General features: G+C 35.6%; 1 long non-coding RNA gene across 1 annotated transcript in view; it reads right to left on the reverse strand.

Annotated features, from left to right (window-relative positions):
* Positions 1-7,050, reverse strand: part of LOC107986221 (uncharacterized) — a 67,141-nt gene extending 60,091 nt beyond the window's left edge. The window contains exon 1 of the long non-coding RNA XR_001741501.2: positions 6,733-7,050. This is a non-coding gene — a long non-coding RNA (uncharacterized LOC107986221). The remainder of the gene's footprint in view (positions 1-6,732) is intronic.
* Positions 7,051-22,302: the final 15,252 nt, after the last annotated feature.

The raw sequence follows: 22,302 nt of genomic DNA on the forward strand, positions 1-22,302 counted from the left end.
GACTTGGTGTAGAGGTCTTCTTTAGGTGCCTCAGGGGAGGCTTTCTTATTGGAGAGAAGAGGGGTAGAATTTGAAGACACTTTCCTCACTTTGACTCAGTACTGGGTACTCTTTTTCCATTCTTAGCCCTTACCTCTTGCTCTCCCTTCAATTTCCAGTCCATAAAACTACCACAGCCTTTTGTTTTAGAGCTCCCTCAATGGTGAGACAACCCCCATGTCTGTGCTGATTCACCGGAGTCTCCTGCTCTGTTCCATGGGTGTAAATGCAACAGGGAGAGTTAACTCTTTTTCTGAGTTTAGCCCCTTGCTTATACTGTTGCAGTAAGTGATTGAGACATTAACTCCATTTTTGACCAGTTGATTTAATCAACTACCCTGATACCTGGCAGCTCAGCGCTGTCTCCCAGTTCAGCTAGGCACCTGACAGAATGTAGTGAAGAATTAAATTGATAGCGTCGGGTCAAAGCACTCAGCCAGATCACTCTTTTACTGTACACTGAAGGTTTTAATATTTCTTACTTAAACTAATTCATCAAACTCCACAAATGTACCTCCACAAGTAATTGGGTGACAAATATTATTTTCTATTCTTAATTGAATTGTCACACTTTCACCATTATCATTTCTGATAGTCTTTGGAAAGTTTGCTGGAAGGAAATTAACTCCTCTCACTGATACACACATGTGTGCATGCATTCATTTATTATTTATAAAACAAATATGTATTCAGTCTGTGAGCCCTGGTATGTATAAAATAGTGTGGACTTGGCCTAATGAATAAGACATGGCTTATATTTTCGAAGAAGTGGAAGATTGGTGTAGAAGACAGACTTGTAAAAATGTAAGTACTTTATTTAAGTAAAAGAAACCTTTTGTGGAACCAGAGAGGAGAGACCAGCTAACTTTGTTAGGTTAAATATGGTAAGATGTTATTGAAGAGATAACACTTCAGACAAATCTTAAAGGATGAGTTGAAATTTTCATAGATTGAAAAAGTGGCATATAATATTTGGGGAATGGAAAACAAATGGAAAAGGAGTATTAAAAAAGTCGCAGGAGTATAAAAATGTATGCAATGGCAGTGAACAGGATAAGTTCAATACTGTTGGAAGAAAGCTTTTAATTAATGCATTAACTAATGCAGATGACACTAACAATACATTTTGAAGAATCTTGGCTATCATGCTTAAGAACTGTAACTTTGTCACTGAAAGATGTGGTGATATATAAATTTTTAAGGTTATACAGTCTGAGAACTTTGTGCATGATGTATGGTAATGAAGAAATAGATTATTAACAAGAAGTCTGTATCAACAGTGAAAGCCAGAAAAACCATAGTCGTTTTCATCTAAGGCCTCATTAGAATAACTTATGCAACTTTCAGGGAAGGTAGATGCTTGGGCTACAATCCAGGCTTTCTGAATCAGAATTTAAGGGGAGAAACCTAATCACATGTACATTAAAATTTCCCACGGGTTAAAGTTTTCCAAAGTAAAATGAGAATAATTAGTAGAAAATGGTGATGAATGCAGAAAATCGAAATGAATTCAAGATACCTTTTAAGTCTGGAGTAAAAATACTTTCATGATTTGTTCTGATAATTGAGGAATAATGCTGTGTTGACTATGTCTAAGTACAATGATAATATCAATGAAAATGTTAGACAACAAGAAGAGATAAATCTTTGGAATAGTAGAAAATAAATTCTGTCTTCATTATATGGATGTTGGATTGTATCAACATATTAAACTACAAATTACATTAATTCCTCTGTGGATTCTTCACTGCCTATTCACATTTATGCAGTTTTAAGAAACATGCTTCTATGTTTTATGTAAAATTAATTAGAAAATATTGCTTTATTTATGTGATATTGTACTTGGAATGATATTTTATCAAAAGGACATTTTCTTTTACAGAAGAGATTTGCAGAGGGTTTTTTTTTTAGTTTGGTACATGTGTTTTTCTATTAATATTTCTAACAACTGTGTTCATAATTCATTTGGGTACTTTCTGTCTGCTGGATAACTGACTTCCAGATTTCATATCCATTCATATGACCCCATTCTGAATTCTCAGTATAAAACTGCTACTGCCTGTAACAGGTGATTAATTTCTCATATGATGTTTACTGCCATGACATAAATCTTCCTGGATTTGCATGTCTAACCGATTACATTTTTTCTCCATCAGGGCATGTAGTTTTTACAAAATTCTTAAATGGTCTATTTCCAGAATATGTTTTTAAACTGTGTGTTTGCTTTCTATCTATATTTTACATGATATACACTTCCTATGAACAGAACTATTTTTCTGGACATTGAAATAGAAATTTTGTGAATTGTCATAATTTAAAATTCCATAATTATATGAGATAATTCTTATAAATATATTAAATATTTAATATATTATATATTTATTGAATGTATCTTTATATCTTTATATTTATTGTGTACATTTATAAAGATGTTATCATTACTGATTTTAAAATATTAATATGTAAATATTGCAGTTGAATCATCAATCTATATTATTAGTCAATGGGCAGACAGATGTGTCAGATGCTTTTCTCTATTTTATGGTTATAAAGCAAATGGCATCATAATAGAGAATTTTGCAAATGCAAAAATTATAGGATTTGATTGTTTAAAATAGTATCAATCATTCACCAAAACATGCCTGGAATTATTTGTTGTATGAATACCAGTGCTTTGTATTTGAATACACATAACCTACAGGCAGTAGACAGGATTTTACGATGGCCTCCATGATTCCTGGTCCCTGTTATATAAACCTTGATTATAATCCCCTCCCCTTGAGTTCTGACAGAACCTGTGAATATATAATATTACTTTTGTAATCTTATTACTAATCAGTTGACTTTGATTTCATTAAGAGGGAGCTTACCAGGTGAGATTCATATAATCAACTGAGTCTTTATGAAGACTGGGCTCTTTTTGAAGTCAGAGACATAGAAAGTGGAGAGAACCTACGCAGGAGGCCACACAGCTAGGGACTGTGGGCAGTCGCCAAAGCAGAAAGTAGTTCCTATCCAACAGCCAGAAGGAGAATGAGGGTCTTGGTCAAAATAATCATGAGATAGTTAATTCTTCCAAAATCCACATGAGTTTGAAAGAGGACCCTCATGTCAGAAAGGAACACAGTTCAGCTGATACCATGATTTTAGCCTTGTGAGATTCTGGGTAGAAAACCCAATTCAGCCATACCTCAATTTCTGACCTATCAAATTGTAGGATAATAAATGGTGTTGTTTGAAGTAACGAATTGGTGGTAATTTATTACACAGTGCTAGAACACTAATACCCTGCTTTTCTCTGAAAATGCTATATGTAATATTAATACAAATTGAGTGTTATACCAGATTTTGAAAATAAAACTGTAAATCTAAAAGTTGCCTTAAAAGCTGTGCTTTTGTCTGCTCATCTCTAAAGCATAATCCACCTAGAAAGAAAAAGTGTTGCTTTATTTTTCTCTTCAAGATATTTTATTTCCTTTTCAGTTGTAAGTCACTGTGTTTTAAGTTTCTTTTTCTGTCCAGATTGAGTCGGTTATTCCAAGAAAGAAGACAACAGCCAACAGGTAAAGTGAGCTGCTTCAGTGAATGGAACGTGAACCAAGAAATAAATCTTTTTAATTTCAACATTAAATTACTTTCAATACTAAAAATGGAAGACATTTCTTAAGGATTTATTAAGTGTAGAATTCACAAAAATAGTGTTACCTTAGCAACTCATGACACAGAAATTAAGCTGTCAACATCTTGATCATTCAAAAGCGGTCATTGATCTTTGTGTCAACACAGCAGATGAAAAAGAGCTGCAGTGACGTACTTTGCCAGGTTTTTGAACTCTGATAAACAAGCCAAGCTGTGTTTATGAATTCCCTAAAATAGACAAGTGGAGAATACAGCAGTATCTCAGTGTGCCAAAATGGATTTACAGGTAGTTGGGCATTGTGCACACTACCCAAGTAGTCTTTATTTCCTAACTCCTATTGTAATATGAAAAAACAGATGTACCTAAAAAATCTTAAGTAGAGACAGTCCCTGCACTTGCCAAAATGCATTACTTTGTAACATTATCTGTCATTAAGAAGAAATCCATTCAGACAGTGTTTCCCTTTAAAAAATCTGTGGTGTCTTTTAAGCTGAAGCTTGAAGAGAAAGCAGCATGAGATTCTCAGGTCACTAAATATATTAAGTAAAGATGTCACCATTTCCATTTTTGCTGAAATAAAAGCAAAGTTAGAGGAACAAAAAGCAAAAAGATTCCAGTGTAACCAGATTCTTCAATGCCACTATAAATAGGTAGCATACATTCATTCTAACTTAGCTCTTATTAAACTTTAATATCATAGGGAAGTTATTCAGAACATAACTTGAATGACAGCCAGCTTTACACCATCTTATACCATATACTCTTCTTAGCCAAGGCATGTAGAGAGAATCAGATTTTGCCCTGGTCATCTATTTGTCTCTCAGAAACACCTTATCATTTAGATATCTCTCAATAAAATGTTTGAAACATTACAGCTTTTAAAATCTGGGAAGCTAATATTGGTTCCATTTGTATTCATAATAGAAAGATTCTTTCAGTTTGTGTACAATTCTATTGTGGGTCATTTTGACTGCATTTAGATATACTTTTAATTCGTTATTCCTAAAGAATGAATGAATGGTTGCTTAGTTCTATTAGCTATATATAAGCTAATAATTATTAAACACTGAACCACCAAAGATATTTATACCCAATTCCCTGGAACCTATGAACAGGTAAGGTTACATGGCAAAGGGGATTGTACAAATATGATTAAGGTTATGAATTTTGAGATGAGAAGATCATATTGGATAAATCAAACTGTGCCTAAAATAATTACATAAGCCCTTAGAGATAAAACTTTTTTCTAAAAGATAAACAAAATTGACAAACCCTTAGCTTAACTAAGAGTAAAGACAAGACATAAGCTTCAAGTAAATAAAATCAGAAATGAAAGAGGTGATATAACACCTGCCTCAAAAATAAAAAGGACATCGTGTCATGGCTCTTGCCTCTAATCCCAGCGCTTTGGGAAGCTGAGGTGAGAGGATCCTTTAAGCCTAGGAATTAGAGATAAGCCTGGGCAACATAGCAAGACCCTCCATCTACAAAAAAGAATAAATTATCTAAGCGTAGTGTCATGCACCTGTAATCCCAGTTATTTGGGAGGCTGAGGTGGGAGGATCACTTGATCCCAGGAATCTGAGGCTGCAATGAGTTATAATTGCACCACCACACTCCAGCCTGTGTGAAAGAGCAGGACCTTATCTCTAAAAAAAGTAAAATAAAATAAACAAACAATAAAACATAAGTAAATAAAAAAGATTACGTGGGACTATTATAGACAATGGCATGCCAACACACTGGATGAGCTAGAAGAAATGATAAATCTCTAGAAACACACAATCTACCAAAACCAACCCAAAAAGAAAATCTGAATAGATCAATAACAAATAAGGAGATTGAATCAATAATCAAAAATCTCCTGAGAAAGAAAAGCCCAGAACCAATGGCTTCATGGGTGAATTATCCCAAATATTATAAAAATTAATACTCATCATTATTAACCTCTTCCAAAAAATAACAGAGGAAACACTTTCAAATTTGTTATATGAGGCCATTATCTCTCTGATACCAAAACCAGATGGAGACACTACAAGAAAATAAAACTACAGGCTACTGTCCCTGATGGAAATAAATGCAAAAATCTTCAGTAAAATACTGACAAGCTGGGTTTGATCGCACATTAATAGGATCACACACCATGACCAAGTGGGATTTATTCGTGAGATGCAGAAACGGTTCAACATACCAAAATCAATCAATGTGATAAAACACATTACCAAAATGAAAGACAGAGACTACATAATCATCTCAGTAGATGCAGAAAGAATATTTGGCAAAGTTCAACAATCTTTCATGACTGAAACTCTCAACAATATAGGTACAGAAGGAATTTACCTCAACACAGTAAAGACTGTATATGAAAGAGTCACAGCTAACATCACAATCCAATGGAGAAAAAGTGAGTTTTGGCTCTAAGATGGCAAAAAGGCAAGTATGCCGACTTTCACCATTTCTGTTCAGCAGAGTAATGGAAGTCCAAGCTAGAGCGATTACACATGGAAAAGAAAAGTCTTCCAAATTGGAGAGGAAGAAATGGCAGAGGGGATGTCAAATGTGAGGGAGTTCACCTGCCCTTACTTGCTTTGAACATGAAGGAGGCCATGAGCCTGGGAATGCAGGTAGCTTCTAGCAGCTCATAATGATCCAGCATGTAAACAAGGGTCTATAACTACATGGATCTGGATTCAGCCAACAATCTGAGTAAGTCTGAAAAGAATTATTCTCCCGAGCTACTGGACAAGAGCCCACTTCTGCTGACATCTTGATTCTGGTTGTATTAGTGTCTGAGCAGAGAATCCAACCGATCCTTCCAGATTTCTGATCTACAGAACTGTGAGATAATCATTTCTGTTAAGACTTAAATTAGTGGTATTTTAATGGCAGCAATAGAAAATTAATACACCCAACTCAACAAACTGCTCTATCACGACACTTTGTCTCTGACTCAATCTGTTCCCAATCTTACTTAACGGCTTACTCTACATTCCTACTCTTTTCCCTTTTTTTTTTTTTTTTTTTTAGATAATATGAGCAGAACTGCAACTTACTGTTTTCTGTGATGGTTCTGTGTATTCCTCATTTCAACTCCAACTGCAAATTCTAGACAGTGGAACTTCTGGCAGTCACTTTCTCACTCTAGGAAAAATTTTGAGAAGTACAGTTTTCTAACTGCATACTCTGCTGACCATACTTGAAAATCTAACTGCTGTGATACTCACTGAAGTTTTCCTACTTCCAAATAAAATCTCTCAGAGGAGTATTCCACCGACCAACAAGATAGACCTGGGCTGGGATCCAATCCTGGGAGTCTAGCCAGTACCAGATATCCAAAAAGAGTCTGGACTGTGGCCACAGTCAAAGGAAACAGGCAGGATATTCACACATCGCAAGTGGGCACATTCTCCTATAAGTTCACTTCCTGCCCTCAATCTTGAGTCCATTCTTATGTGAATGTCCTTTTCATTGAACACAGATATGATGTCAACTGGCTATGGCTGCTGCTGCTGCTGTTTCTTTACCTCTGTCTTTGTCTCCTGAATGTTTCTTGCACCCATCTCTGCTGCCTCTCCTTCTGTTCCTCCTTCTCTTGCTATTCCTCCTCCTTTTCCAGACTACTGATGGCACAAGTGTACTGATTTAAACATCAGTGTAATTGGGATTGTTTTACATATTCATAATTCAAAGATTTTTTATCTTTCTAAACATATTGATGAGAGGAAATTATATTGATCTTCTAAATGAGGGTCAAAAAAACAGAATAATATTTTGCTTCACAGTTAAGGAACCCAAGTCCATGGGACATATTAGAGAAACTAACTTGCAACTTTAAAACTTCATTTTTTCTTTCATGAACTTAACATGTGTTTATGGAATACCTGTCAATGCAAATGCCAGGGATATGGCAGTATGAGACAAGTAAACACATATGAACATTGATTTAATAGAAACATTTCAGTTATAATTCCACATAGGCAAACAATTTGGACTATTTAGCTATTAATGTACAGAAGAAGTTAATTTCCAAGTTACATAAACTATTTCAGTTAACAAATATAAAATTCACATTTTTTATTCTTTGTAATATATAAGAGAAAATATCCATTCCAAAATTGTCACTGTTGACTTTATTAAAATATTCTGTTCCTCGGGATTTTGTAACATTTCACCCTCTTGGTGAAAACCATTCTTAATTAAATAATTTAATTATCTGGTGTATTTTCAAAAATTACTACAAATGGGGCCATTCCACATTTTTCTATTCTCAATTTGCTAACTTTATTTATGCTCAGACAAAATGTGTCAGATTTCTTGACATCTCCTTTTCTGAAACAGTCAGGTAGTCTTTAAGTTATCATGAATCTTTCCTTAAAATATTTGTCATATCGTTCATGCTCTCAGTTCTCATGGCCACAGTCTTTGGGCCTATCCTAAGTAATTCTTGAAATATTACGTAGATCCATGTCACCCATGTAGCTCAATCTACCGTCACGGTTTCTATATTCTTATTTATCTTCAAACTGTTGTATATCAATGTTTATGAAGCATTGGATTATTATAACTTTCACCACAAGGGCCTTTGGTAGATCTTTTTAAATTTTATTCTACTGAGCAAAGTTGCTTTCATTTATTAGATTATTACAACGTCAAAGTTCCAGTCTTTTATTTTATACCATTCGGTATTTTCAAATCCATGACATGGTTCAAACAGTTATCTTCATTTATTTTTCCAAGCTTCAAGGTACATATATTAGTTCGTTCTCACACTTTTATAAAGAACTACCAGAGACTGGGTAATTTATAAAGAAAAGAGGTTTAGTCAGCTCACGGTTCTGTGGGCTGTTCAGGCTTCTGCTTCTGGGGAGGGCTCAGGGAACTTACAATCACAGCAGATGGCAAGGGGAAGCAGGTAAATCTTCCCTGACCAGTAGGAGAGAGAGAGAGTGGCAGGAGAGGTACCACACACTTTCAACCAACCAGATCTCATGAGAACTCTATCACAAGACAGCACTTGGGGAATGGCGCTAAACCATTAGAAACCACCCCCATGATTCAATCACCTTCCACCAGACCCCACCTCCAAAATCAGGAATTGCAATTCAACATGAGATTTATATAGGGGCACAGAGGCAAACCATATCAGTTTGCTTTACAGGTTAACTATTCCATTAAGGACTATACAAAATTTATAATCAACCCTTGAAGATCTCTTACTAGCTGTAAGTCCCTGCAAGGCAGACACCCTTCTATCCATATATTTATCTATTTCCTACTGCTAAATATAGTAGTTTAATGTTAGTGCTCAATATCAATTTGTTGAATAACATTGAAAAAAACAGTATCTTTTTTTATGAAAACATATTCCATATTTTAGTTGCATGATTTGAACAGTACAAAATTTTACTGTCTAGCCTAGAAACAAAAAATAACTAAAAAGAGAATGGTTGCATTAGCTTTTCTCAACTATTATAGAAATGGATTATATCTATTTCCCTGAAAGTTTTCCTCTTTGAAGAATACTTGTCTCTGTGTGATAGGGACAAAATAATAATTAGCATTTGACAATTCTGCACTGAGACTTGGAGTCTCAAATATGCACTGAAGTAATTTATTAGGCATTTGATAAGGTGAACTGATGATTAGATGTAGGTTAAGTCCCAGCATAAACTTTCTCAAATTGTTCTACTAAATTCAAGACACTGATTGAGAGAGGATTAAGGGTGTACAAGAACTACTTCATCATCTGTAAGGTAACATAAGGGTTATTTTATCCCTTTATCCTATTTTTTAAAAGTTATTTTCAGCAAGAAGTAGCTCACATGTCTATTTTATGGTTTCTCTCCTTTGAGTTTTTACTGTATGTAGACATTATATCACAAATACTTACTTGACTAAAACTAATGGGCTTTTACCACAAATTAAAAACATAAGCCATTGTCAGTTTGCATTATACTCAGATTGCTTATATGCTTACAAAAATACTTAAACATTATAAAACTAGTATTTTTTCTATTAATCTCAATATTTACCTGTAATAGATTGTTACATAATAATGACATTCTAAAAGTTAGCATAATAACTATAAAAATTAGGGCTTGTAGTCACAGGGTTATGTTCTAACTTCTTAGTTACACATGACAAAAAGCCCTTCAAAATCTACCTCGGCTAACTTTTTCAAAGAAATTTTCCATAGGTCTTCCTTCATCTCTTGAGGATCACAAACTACTCATTATTTTCACATGTCACAATGTATTGTTTTTATTTGTCTTTCTGTAACCTCCAATGCATTCACGTACAATTTCCTCTATCTGCTCTATCTGGAAGGCCTTTTATTTCTATTTTCAATGTGGGAGATTTCTCTAGGGAACATTGCCTTAATTCAGGGAGATTCCCTCGTTAGACTGTGAATTTCTCAAAAGAAAATAATATGTAGAGTTTATTTTATCCATTTTTCACTATCCGGAATATGACACTGCCAGATACATAATAAACATTTAACAAATATTTATTGGCTGAAGTAATGGAGGGGAAGGGAATTCTATTAAAATACAGAAGTCTAGAAGTCAAGGATGTGCGATAGGATATGAAAGGCTGCTGCTATCATAAGTATAGTTGGAAATAACTTCGATTTTTTTCCAATGTGTCTCAGTTCTGTATATCTATTTAGAAGTCGAAAGATAGCAAAGCACCTACTATTTTTTTCTTTTGAGAGGTGCTTCTTTTGTGAGTTTTGGAGAATTTAAGGCTTAAATAAAATATTGACTATATAAATTAAAATGAAGCAAAATTACTATATGTAGAATATGTTTTAGTAATTTAGTGATCACAAAATTGTCTATTTTGTTGTTTGTTTAATTTGTAGATGCAATATATAATATTCCAATGCCGACTATAATGTTTGTGTTTTAACTTTAACACCTGTCTTTGGTGATAAAGATCTAGCTTTATTCTATTTTATGAAGAAGCACAATTTGTTCTCTATGGGGAGTCTAAAGTATAAAGTGATGACGATTTGATACATAGTATAAATTTCTCTTTTTGCTTTATTTTAAAATTCGTGTACAATGCCCTTTCCTTCCATCCACTTGTGTGTGTCCTTTAGAAGGAGTTTTCATTTAGGCAAAATATAAAATAGTATTAATTATTTTCTATTCGTTTTTTTTTTCCTGAACTAAGTTGTGTTACTCTGGAATTCTCTGTGATACATCCCTGAACTTTTCGATCTTATGTTAAATATAGTTGGTGCATGTATCCTTTAGCATTATCCATTGCATTCTGGACATTAAATAAAAATTAATAAACATACACATGCAAGTGTCTTTATAGTAGCATGATTTATAATCCTTTGGATATATACCCAGTAACAGGACTGCTGGGTCAAATGATGTTTCTAGTTCTAGATCCTTGAGGAATCACCACACTGTCTTCTACAATGGTTGAACTAATTTATACTCTGACAAACAGTGTACAAGCGTACCTATTTCTCCACATCCTTTCCAGCATCTGTTGTTTCCTGACTTTTTAATGATTGCCATTCTAACTGGCATGAGATGGTATCTGATTGTGATTTTGATTTGCATTTCTCTGATGACCAGTGATGATGAGCATTTTTTCATGTCTGTTGGCTACATAAATGTCTTCTTTTGAGAAGTGCATGTTCATATCCTTTGCCCACGTTTTGATGGGGTTGTTGGTTTTTTTCTTGTAAACTTGTTTAAGTTCTTTGTAGATTCTGGATATTAGCCCTTTGTCAGATGGATAGATTGCAAAAATTTTCTCCTATTTTGTAGGTAGCCTGTTCACTCTATTGATAGTTTCTTTTGCTGTGCATAAGCTCTTTAGTTTAATTAGATCCCATTTGTCTACTTTGGCACTATTCACAATAGCAAACACTTGGAACCAACCCAAATGTCCATCAATAATAGACTGGATAAAGACAATGTGGCACATATACACCGTGGAATACCATGCAGCCATAAAAAAGGATGAATTCATGTCCTTTGCAGGGACATGGATGAAGCTGGAAACCATCATTCTCAGCAAACTATCACAAGGACAGAAAACGAAATACTGCATGCTCTTACTCATAAGTGGGAGTTGAACAATGAGAACACATGGACACAGGGAGAGGAACATCACACACTGGGGCTTGTCAGGGGGTGGGGGGGCTGGGGGACGGATAGCATTAGGAGAAATACCTAATGTAAATGATGAGTTGATGGGGGCCGCAAACCAACATGGCACACGTATACCTGTATAACAAGCCTACGCATTGTACGCATGTAACCCAGAACTTAAAGTATAATAATCATACCAAAAAAAATCAACTGATATCTTTTAAAGCCCTGAAGTGTACAGGAAAATTAATTCCTAATTATAAACATGGAAACTTATGACAGTTAATTCATCTTACACATTTACTTGTCATGTTTAGCCATGAAAATCCACTCATAACTAAGAAAACTAAATAAATATTACATTTCTCTCTTAAATGTTAAAAAAAAATTAAACATTAAGTGAATAAGTAAATAAAGCCAAATATCTGTTTAAGCAGGTGTTGAAAGCCTGGCCCCAGAAAAACTGCTCACACTGCAGAAGCCAGATGTCAGAGGAACTATGTGCATTGCAGAAGTGGGAAATCTGAGTAGACTGAAAAAAGTAAGAGAAACCCCTCGAAATGTCTCTCTAGTGCTTTCTACTACAAAGAGTAACATCCTGCTAGCTGGCAAAGGACGAATATTAATAGAGTCAAGCTCCATTTTCACAGAGCAGACAATGAAGAGTAAATTTGGAGTTCAGAGGCAATAATTTGAAATCAGTCCCTGTGTAGAAAGAACAGAGAATGAAAGGAGGAAGAACAGAGAGAAAGTTAAAGAGGATATATTCAATAACTATAGAAGTTATTTGTTAGTTTACTTACTCTATAGGAATGAAAATGCTTAAGAAAGAAAAGAAGAAGACAAAGAAATAGAGGTAAATTTGCATAAGATGGAAGGCAAATTGTAATGAAATAATAAATATAACAGCAGGTGAAAATACTGGCAAAATTGTAAATATACATATATATTTATCTTTGTAATATAATGATTAAGTGGTTTTCTATTAATACTAAAAGGACAACTTTTCCATAGTTCTGTATCTGTATACTTCCTAAAACATAATTCTTGAAATACAAGTTTTAAAGCAGGTTCAGATTTTAGACATAGAAAATACGGAGAAGCTACATCAATACATGAATAGAGACATTTAAAAATTATTATGTCTAAAATTCTAAATATATTTATAAAACATGAGCTATTCAGGTGATAAAATTTACAGCCAACAGCTTTTGAGATGTCCAACAGTAATTAGATTTCATTACCTCCAGACAGTGTAAATGATTTATTAATATAATTATTAATTATTATAGCTAAATAATTAGGGCTGTTTGATTTTCAATATTATTACCAATTTCTCTGAAATACGTGAGGAGCTATGCACTGATAAACTTGTCTTTATCGTGGGCAGATATCACCACTATATTTTAATAGATATTATATATTATTTAACTGAATTCAATAGGTGTTCATTCACAAAACAAAATTACAAAACATGGAAGGAATGTATTATTTAAGAATTTAACAGGAAGAGTTTTAAATGTTATCAGGATTTCCTTTCAACCATGCCTAACATATACCGTAAAGAAATAACTAAATCTTGAAAACCCTTATTAATACAGTTTATACTTTCTACAAAATGGATAAAGTTTTTAAGTGGGAAGTGCTAGGAAGTAAAGTTTCAATCTAAATGATTTATATATTCATTTCATGCTTTTTTGTCTTCACCATACAGATAAGTTCTAATTGGATCTCAGTCAAAAAGAACATGTCATGGGCACCTGCATGAAATAAGTCAAATAAGCATTTCAAAAATTTATGGTTAGTATACCTGTTATATGAGTTAAATGTATTATAAAAACTGAAAATATATATTTATAGTTATACTTATAAATTACTGGTTTTTAGAATGGAGCATAGTTCATAATATTAACTGTATTACTAATAAAGTAATAATACTAATAACAGTTATTGTTAACTAATAGATGTAAAGGATGTTGATTTGTTTGGAATAAAGTGTTCCTTTGGTTACTGTTAAGTCATTAGAATAATTCACAAGCAGCAAATTGTTTAGTGAAAATGTAAAATTATGTTGCCGTCATTTTTTATAAATCCATAAATCTTAATTATAAGTATGTAGACTAACAGATTTAAAGGAAATAGAACAGCCATAGTAAAGTCAAAATAGTTGTTTACATTTTAGTTTCCTTCTTTTAAATGGTTTACATAAAATGGCAAACAAAAAAATGGTGTATTCATTATATTCCCGCAGGAGAAATTTGGGCTGGAACAGAAGCCTTTGCTACTGATGGTGCTGGGATGTTGACTCTATGTGTCATCATCCCCACCAACTCTCAGCAATAGAAATATTTTGAATCAGAACATTGTTGTTTTATCCTTGCATGACAAAATAAAAATGTGAGCAATACTCTGGTCACCAATATAAATCGGGCTGCCCCAATTACAAACACATGGTCATTTTCTGTTTATGCCAAAACTAATGCGGTCCATTATTGAAATGTACTACTTGAAATTTTGAAATGGAACTAACATATGTATCCTGTGATTATTTGTCTTCTACATCTTGGTATCCAAGCACCAGTCATATTGCATTTTGTTCTTTTAGTGATCTTTCTAATCCTCTGCTTAGATTTATGGGAAAGCATTCATCAATCAAATTGGCAATGCTTTTAGTCATATTCAGGGGAAAAGGTGGTTGAATTTAATCAACAAATGCACATGTTTTACTCCTGTATATCTAACTATAAGCCCCCTTGCAGTCTTAATGGCTTACTTCACACATTTTCAGAAGACTATCATTAGTTATCCAAATGCATTTGAATGTTGTTGTCTGTTAACACTTGAAATAAAAAGACGGATTCACAAGGATCTTCCAGAAGCTTACTATGCCAATACTGGTACAGCTGCTACTTAGAACTGTCTTCAAATAGTAGACTACTTGATTGCTGCTGCCAATTGGATTTTCTTAACTATTATTTCCCTTTAGTCAAAGACACAGAATGTAGAAACTCTGTATCTAAGGGATTTGGCAGAGGCTTAGCTATTTATCATTTGTGTGAGGATCAAGCAGGCCAGGTGTGGTGTCCTGTTTATTTTAATGATACCAATATTGGGATGTGAGTTTAGAATAATAATATAGAATATTATTCACTTATTTTGCACCTTGGTGGCAGTTGCAAGAATGTGGCATTTCTCTAGCACATAAAATAGCTCTGGCTTAAATTTATTTTGCATAAAATCTCGCAATAGAGAAACCACTTGTATTTAGATACCATTTACACTATGAGGTTTTTTATTTTTGTTGCTATTGTTTTTAATGTAAGACTTCCTTTAAGAAAACGAGAAATTGCCGTGTTTTCTGATCTACACTATGCCTAGCACCACAAGACTGGAAAAGAAAAATGCATTTCACTCTGAAGGAAAAAAGATAATAGAAGTTGAGAGGCTATCAAAACAAATTGTGTATTTGAGTGTGGAATAAGTAGATGGCAGAGATCAAATGCATTTGGATAACTAATGATAGTCTTCTGAAAATGTGTGAAGTAAGCCATTAAAACTGCAAGGGGGCTTATAGTTATATATACAGGAGTAAAACATGTTCATTTGTTGATTAAATTCAACCACCTTTTCCCATGAATGTGACTAAAAGCATTGCCAATTTGATTGATGAATGCTTTCCCATAAATCTAAGCAGAGGATTAGAAAGATCACTAAAAGAACAAATTATCTGGAAGATAATTTGAAGCTGTCTTACCTTCTTTTGTGTGTACAATGTTTGGCATGACTACAGATTTTCCAGGTACTTATAAACTGCAGTGTCATGGGTAGTGTGAAAGTTGTGGTTACGCTTAACAGTGACAAGCAACAATGCTGATATGATAATGATGATCAGTCTGGCACTGAAACATGTGGCAGTGGGAAGGACAAGGGTACACATGACAGAGAAAGGGGTGGAATTCTGCAAATGATGAATTACTTTATCACCCTTCCAAGCACCTTACCATGAACATTTGGGTAAATTCAATGATTACTACTCAACCATCATGTGTATCAGATTTTAGAATAAATAAGGGAGAACTTCAGCATTTTATCAAGCTGGTAATAATGCCACAGAACAAAAGTTTCCAAACTTTTTGGCACCACAGACTGGTTTTGTGGAAGACAATTTTTCCACAGACTAGGATTGGTGAGGGATGCTTTTGGGATGATTCATGCACATTACATCTGTTGTGCACTTTATTTCTATTACTTTTATATTATAATATATAATGAAATAATTATTCAACTCACCATAATGTAGAATCTGTGGGAGCCCTGAGTTTGTTTTCCTGCAACTAGACAGTCCCATCTTGGGGTGATGGGCTACAGTAGCAGATCATCAGGAATTAGATTTTCATAAGGAGTGCTCAACCTAGATCCCTCACATGCACAGTTCAAGGTAGGGTTCTCACTGCTGTGTGAATCTAATGTGGCCACTGATCTGACAGGAGGTGGAGCTCAGGTCACTGAACTGACAGGCGGCAGAGCTCAGGCCACTGATCTGACAGGAGGAGGAGCTCAGGTGGTAGTGCAAGTGATGGGGGGCAGCTGTAAATACCAATGAAGCTTTGCTCTCTTGCCTGCTGCTCACCTCCTGCTATTCAGCCCATTTTCTAACAGACTGCAGACCACTTCTGGTCTATGACCTGGGGTTCAGGCACTCCTGCTGTAGAAGATATACTTTTTCTCATTCCTGCAAGGTCATTTACTTTTTTGGTGTTTTCCTCAATGGTAAGGATTTTAGGGTTGATAATTCTGAAGAGATATTTGACAAGGAAGAATACTATCCTTCTATCTATCCATTCAGGTAAAAAAATCAGCACATCCCTTTCCAGATTGTGATTAGGCACCACGGATGCTACTGCTCTCAGGAAGCTTAAAGTCCAGAGAGAAAAACACTGGAAAACACTGCAGGTCTTCCCAAGTTATCTACATCTATATGACTCCTAATCTAGTGTAGGCAGGTTAAAGGCAAATATCTCACTGACAGTGCCATCCTGTATAAAGGAGGTAGTTTCATGACATAAGAAGACCCCAAGATGAAAAGGTATTTGAAGTTGTTACCAAAATATGACAAAACATTCTCTGATTCAGAACCTTTACATTGTCTGTTTCCTTCTTCCAGAATGCTGTTTCTCAGATATCTCATTTTCCTGAGTTTCCTTCATAGTGCCCTTACCATTACCTGGATACACACACAAGGTCTTATTCGCACGCACTTTAAACATATGTAAGTTATTATCTATCTCTCCCCACTGGAATGAAAGCTTGATGGCCTCTGGTTTGTTCACTATCCCCATTATCTAGAACAACGCCTGGCAGAAGATTTCACATGGGTAAATATTTGTTGGATGTTTATCTACTTGTATATCAAGTAATGACTTCCTGAGAAACTTAATTGGATCCTTTTTATTTATGTGGTATTGAGCGATTAACAACCATTCTTTAAAATTCACACTTGACTGCAAAACACTATTCAGCATTATGTATTACAAATCAATAAATCAATCTACCTAAATCTCTTAACTAGGAAATACTGACAAGTAGATGTCTTGATGAGTACTTGCTATGAGTACCTATGCTCACAAACATACACAAACATATAAATAAGAATGAGGGGATATAATTCTACTAATATGTCCTTATTGACAATTGCAACACAAGAAAAACAACAAAATATTTTCATATAATTGATTCATCATTTAACATACTCTTTGCTGCTTTTTTGTGTTTAGTTGTTTTATAAATTTAATTTTATTTTAGATTCAGTGTGTACCTGTGCATGTTTGTTATATGGATATATTGCATAATGGTGGGGATTGGGCTTTTAGTGTACCCATCACCCAAATAGTAAATATTGTATCCAATAGGTAATTTTTAACCCTCTTTCCTCTCTTATCCTCCTCACTTTCAGAATCTCCAGTGTCTGTTGTTCCCATGTTTATGTGTGTGGGTGCTCAAGTTTAGCTCCAACATATAAGGAGAACATGTGGCATTTGAATTTCTATTTCTGAGTTGTTTAACTTAAAATAAGAATAATGACCTCCAGCTCCATCCACATTGCCACCAAGGACAAGATTTCATTCATTTTTATGGCTGCATATTATTACATGGTGAATACACACCACATTTTCTTTATCCATTCAACCATTGATGGACACATTGGTTGATTCCATAAGTTTACTCTCGTGAATAGTGCTGCAATAAATGTACAAGCACAAGTGTCTTTTGTATATAATTATTTTCCATTGAGTAGATACCCAGTGAAGCGATTGCTGAATCAAATGGTAGATCTACTTTAAGTTCTCTGAGAAATCTCCATACTGTTTTCTATAGAGGTTTACATTCCCACCAATAATATATAAGTGCTTCCTTTCCTCCACATCTATGCCAACATCTGTTTGTTTGTTTGTGTGTTTTTTGACTTTTTTATAATAGACATTCTGTTTGGTGTAACTTGATATCATTGTGGTTTTGCATTTCTCTGATGATTAGTGATGTTGAGCATTTTTGCATATGCTTGTTGGCCACTTGTATGTCTTTTTTTGAGAAACGTCTGTTGATATTGTTTGCCCTCTTTTTAACTGTGTTGTTTGTTTGTGAATTAATTGTTTGAGTTCCCTATATATTCTGGATTTAATCCACCTGGTCCAGAGTTGAGTTCAAGTCCTGAATATCCTTACAAATTTTCTGTCTTGTTGATCTGTCTAATATTGACAGTGGGGTCTTAGAGTCTCCCACTATTGTAGGGTGGGAGTCTAAGTCTCTTTGTAGGTCTCTAAGAGCTTGCTTTATGAATCTGGGTGCTCCTGAACTGGGTGCATGTATATTTAGGATAGTCAGCTCTTCTTGTGGCATTGATCCCTTTACCATTATGTAATGCCCTTGTTTGTCTTTTGTAATCTTTCCTGGTTTAAAGTATGTTTTATCAGAGACTAGGATTGCAATCCCTGCTTTTCTTTTTCTTTCTTTTTTTATTTCTTTTGCTTCCATTTGTTTGGTAAATCTTCCTCCATCCCATTAATTTGAGCCCATCTGTGTCTTTGCATGTGAGATAGGTCTCCTGAATACAGCACACCAACGGGTCTTGACTCTTTATCCAATTTGCCAGTCTGTGACTTTTAATTGGGACATTTAGCCCTTTTACATTTAAGGTTAATATTGTTATGTGTGAATTTGATCCTGTCATTATGATGCTAGCTGGTTATTTTACCCATTAGTTGATGCAGTTTCTTCATAGTGTCAATGGTCTTTACAATTTGGTATGTTTTTGCAGTGGCTGGTACCAGTTGTTCCTTTCCATATTTAGTGCTTCCTTCGGGAGCTCTTGTAAGGCAGGCCTGGTGCTGACAAAATCTCTCAGCATTCCCTTGTCTGTAAAGGATTTTATTTCTCCTTTGATTTTGAAGCTTAGTTTGGCTGGATATGAAGTTCTGGGTTGAAAATTCTTTTCTTTAAGAATGTTGAAAATATTCAGCAATGGGCCCCCACTCTCTTCTGGCTTGCAGGTTTTCTGCAGAGAGATCTGCTGTTAGTCTGATGGGCTTCCCTTTGTGGGTAACTGGACCTTTCTCTCTGGCTTCCCTTAACACTTTTTCCTTCGTTTCAACCTTGTTGAATCTGATGATTATGTGTCTTGGGATTGCTCTTCTTGAGGAGTATCTTTGTGGTGTTCTCTGTATTTCCTGAATTTGAATGTTGGCCTCTCTTTCTAGGTTGGGGAAGTTCTCTTGGATAATATCCTCAAGAGTGTTTTCCAACTTGGCTCCTTTCTCCCCATCACTTTCAGGTACACCAATCAAACGTAGGTTTGATCTTTTCACATAGTCCCATATTTCTTGGAGGTTTGTTCATTCCTTTTCATTATTTTTTACTATAATCTTGTCTTCATGCTTTATTTCATTAAGTTGATCTTCAATCTTTGATATCCTTTCTTCTGCTTGATCAATTTGACTACTGATACTTGTGTATGCTTCATGAACTTCTCATGTTGTGTTTTTCAGCTCCATCTGGTCATTTATATTCTTCTCTAAACTGGTTGTTCCAATTAGCAGTTCTTCTAACTTTTTTTTCAAGGTTCTTAGCTTTCTTGCATTGGGTTAGAGCATGCTTCTTTAGTTTGGAGGAGTTTGTTATTACCCACCTTCTGAAACCTACTTCTGACAATTCATCAAACTCATTCTCCACCCTGTTTTGTTTCCTTGCTGACAAGGAGTTGTGATCCTTTGGAGGAGAAGAAGTGTCCTGGTTTTTGGAATTTTCAGCCTTTTTGTGCTGTTTTTTTTTTTTTTTTTTTTTTTCTCATCTTCATGGATTTAACTACCTTTGGTCTTTGATGTTCATGATCTTTGCATGGGGTTTTTGTGTGGAAGTCCTTTTTGTTGATGTTGATAGCATTCTTTCTGTTTGTTAGTTTTCTTTCTAACAGTGAGGCCCCTCTGCTGCAGGTCTGCTGGAATTTCCTGGAGGTCCACTTCAGACCCTGGTTGCCTGGGTATCACCAGCAGAGGCGGCAGAACAGCAAAGATTGCTGCCTGTTCCTTCCTCTGGAAGCTTTGTCACAGAGGGGCACCTGCCAGATGCCAGCTGGAGCTCTCCTGTATGAAGTGTCTGTAGAACCCTGCTTGGAGATGTCTCCCAGTCAGGAGGCACAGTGGTCAGGGACCCACTTGAGGAGGCAGTCTGTCCCCTAGCAGAGCTTGAGCACTGTGTGGGGAAATCTGCTGCTCTCTTCAGAGCTGGCAGGCAGGGACATTTAAGTTGGCTGAAGCTGTGCCCACAGTCATCCCTTCCCCCAGGTGCTCTGTCTCAGGGAGATGGGAGTTTTGCCTATAAGCCCCTTACTGGGGCTGCTGCCTTTCTTTTAGAGCTGACTTGCCCAGAGAGGAGGAATCTAGAGAGGCAGTCTGGCTACAGCAAGTTTGCAGCACTGTCGTGGGCTCTGCCCAGTTCGAACTTCCAGGATAACCGCCTACTCAAGTCTCAGTAATGGTGGATGCCCTGCCCCCCACCATGGTGGAGCTTCCCAGGTTAACTTCAGACTGCCATGCTGGCAGCGAGAATTTTAAGCCAGTGGGTTTTACCTTGCTGGACTCCATGAGGGTGAGATCTGCTGGGCTACAGCACTTGGCTCCCTGGCTTCAGTCCCCTTTCCAGGGGAGTCAATGGTTCTGTCTCTCTGGCATTCCAGGTGCCACTGGGGTATGAAAAAAACTCCTGCAGCTAGTTTGGTGTCTGCCCAAATGGCCATCCAGCTGTGTGCTTGAAACTCAGGATCCTGGTGGCATAGGCACCCTAGGGATTCTCTTGGTCTGCAGGTTGCGAAGACCACTGGAAAAGCAGAGTATCTGGGCCGGAGTGCACCATCCCTCATGGCTTCCTTTGGCTTCCATTGGCTAGGGGAGGGAGTTTCCCGACTCCATGCACTTCCCAGGTGAGGTGACCCCCCACCGTGCTTCGGCTTGCCCTCTGTGGGCTGCACCCACTGTATAACCAGTCCCAATTAGTTGAGCTGGATATCTCAGTTGGAAATGCAGAAATCACCTGCCTTCTGCATTGATCTCACTGGGAGTTGCAGACTGGAGCTGTTCCTATTTGGCCATCTTGCCAGCCACCACCCAGTATCAATTTTTTGTTAATGAACATTTGTATGTTTCTAGTTTTAAGTTTTTATAAATAAACATGCTACAAATATTTGATTACAAGTTTTTCTATGAACATATGCTTTTATTCCTCTTGACTAAATACCTGTGAGTAGAAAGGTTAGATCCTATTGGAAGCGTAGAGTTAACCTTTTGAGAAACTGTTGTGCACTTTTTTCCAAGGGATTGCTTTATTTAAATTCCTACTGACAGTGCCTGGGAGTTGCAGTTTCTATGCTCCCTCACCTACATTTAGGATGACTAGTCTTTTTAACGTTAGCAATGCTACTTAAGGTGTAACAAGTATCTCATTGTGTTTTAACTTGCATTCTTCTAATACCGAATAATGATAAGAATTTTCATGTTTATCTTATCCACGCAAACTTTACTCACGAAGTGTATGTTCAAAAAATTTTAACAGTTTGCTTGCATTTTTATTATTGGGTTTTGAGAAGTTTTTGTATATTATGAATACAAGTCATTTTGCAGTTAAGTGAGTTGCAAATCCATTTCTCCAGGTTAAGGGTTGTCTATTTACTCCCTTCTTAGTGTCTATTGGAAATCAGAAGTTGCTAATTTTTATGAAATATCATTTATCAATTTGTTCTTTTATGGATTATGCTTTTGTTGTCATCTCTAAATATCTCTTTCTAAATCAAAGTCACAAGGATTTTCCCCAAACTTATCTTCTATACCTTTTAAAGTTTTAGATTTTACTTTCAAGTCTATCACCCAGTTGTACCCATTTTTAAAAATATGACATATTGTTTAAAACTGAATTCATCAGTGGCATACAGATAACAGCTCTTTAATACCATTTTTT

Source organism: Homo sapiens, chromosome 4 (assembly GCF_000001405.40).
Source record: "Homo sapiens chromosome 4, GRCh38.p14 Primary Assembly".
NCBI classification, from domain to species: Eukaryota; Metazoa; Chordata; class Mammalia; order Primates; family Hominidae; genus Homo; species Homo sapiens.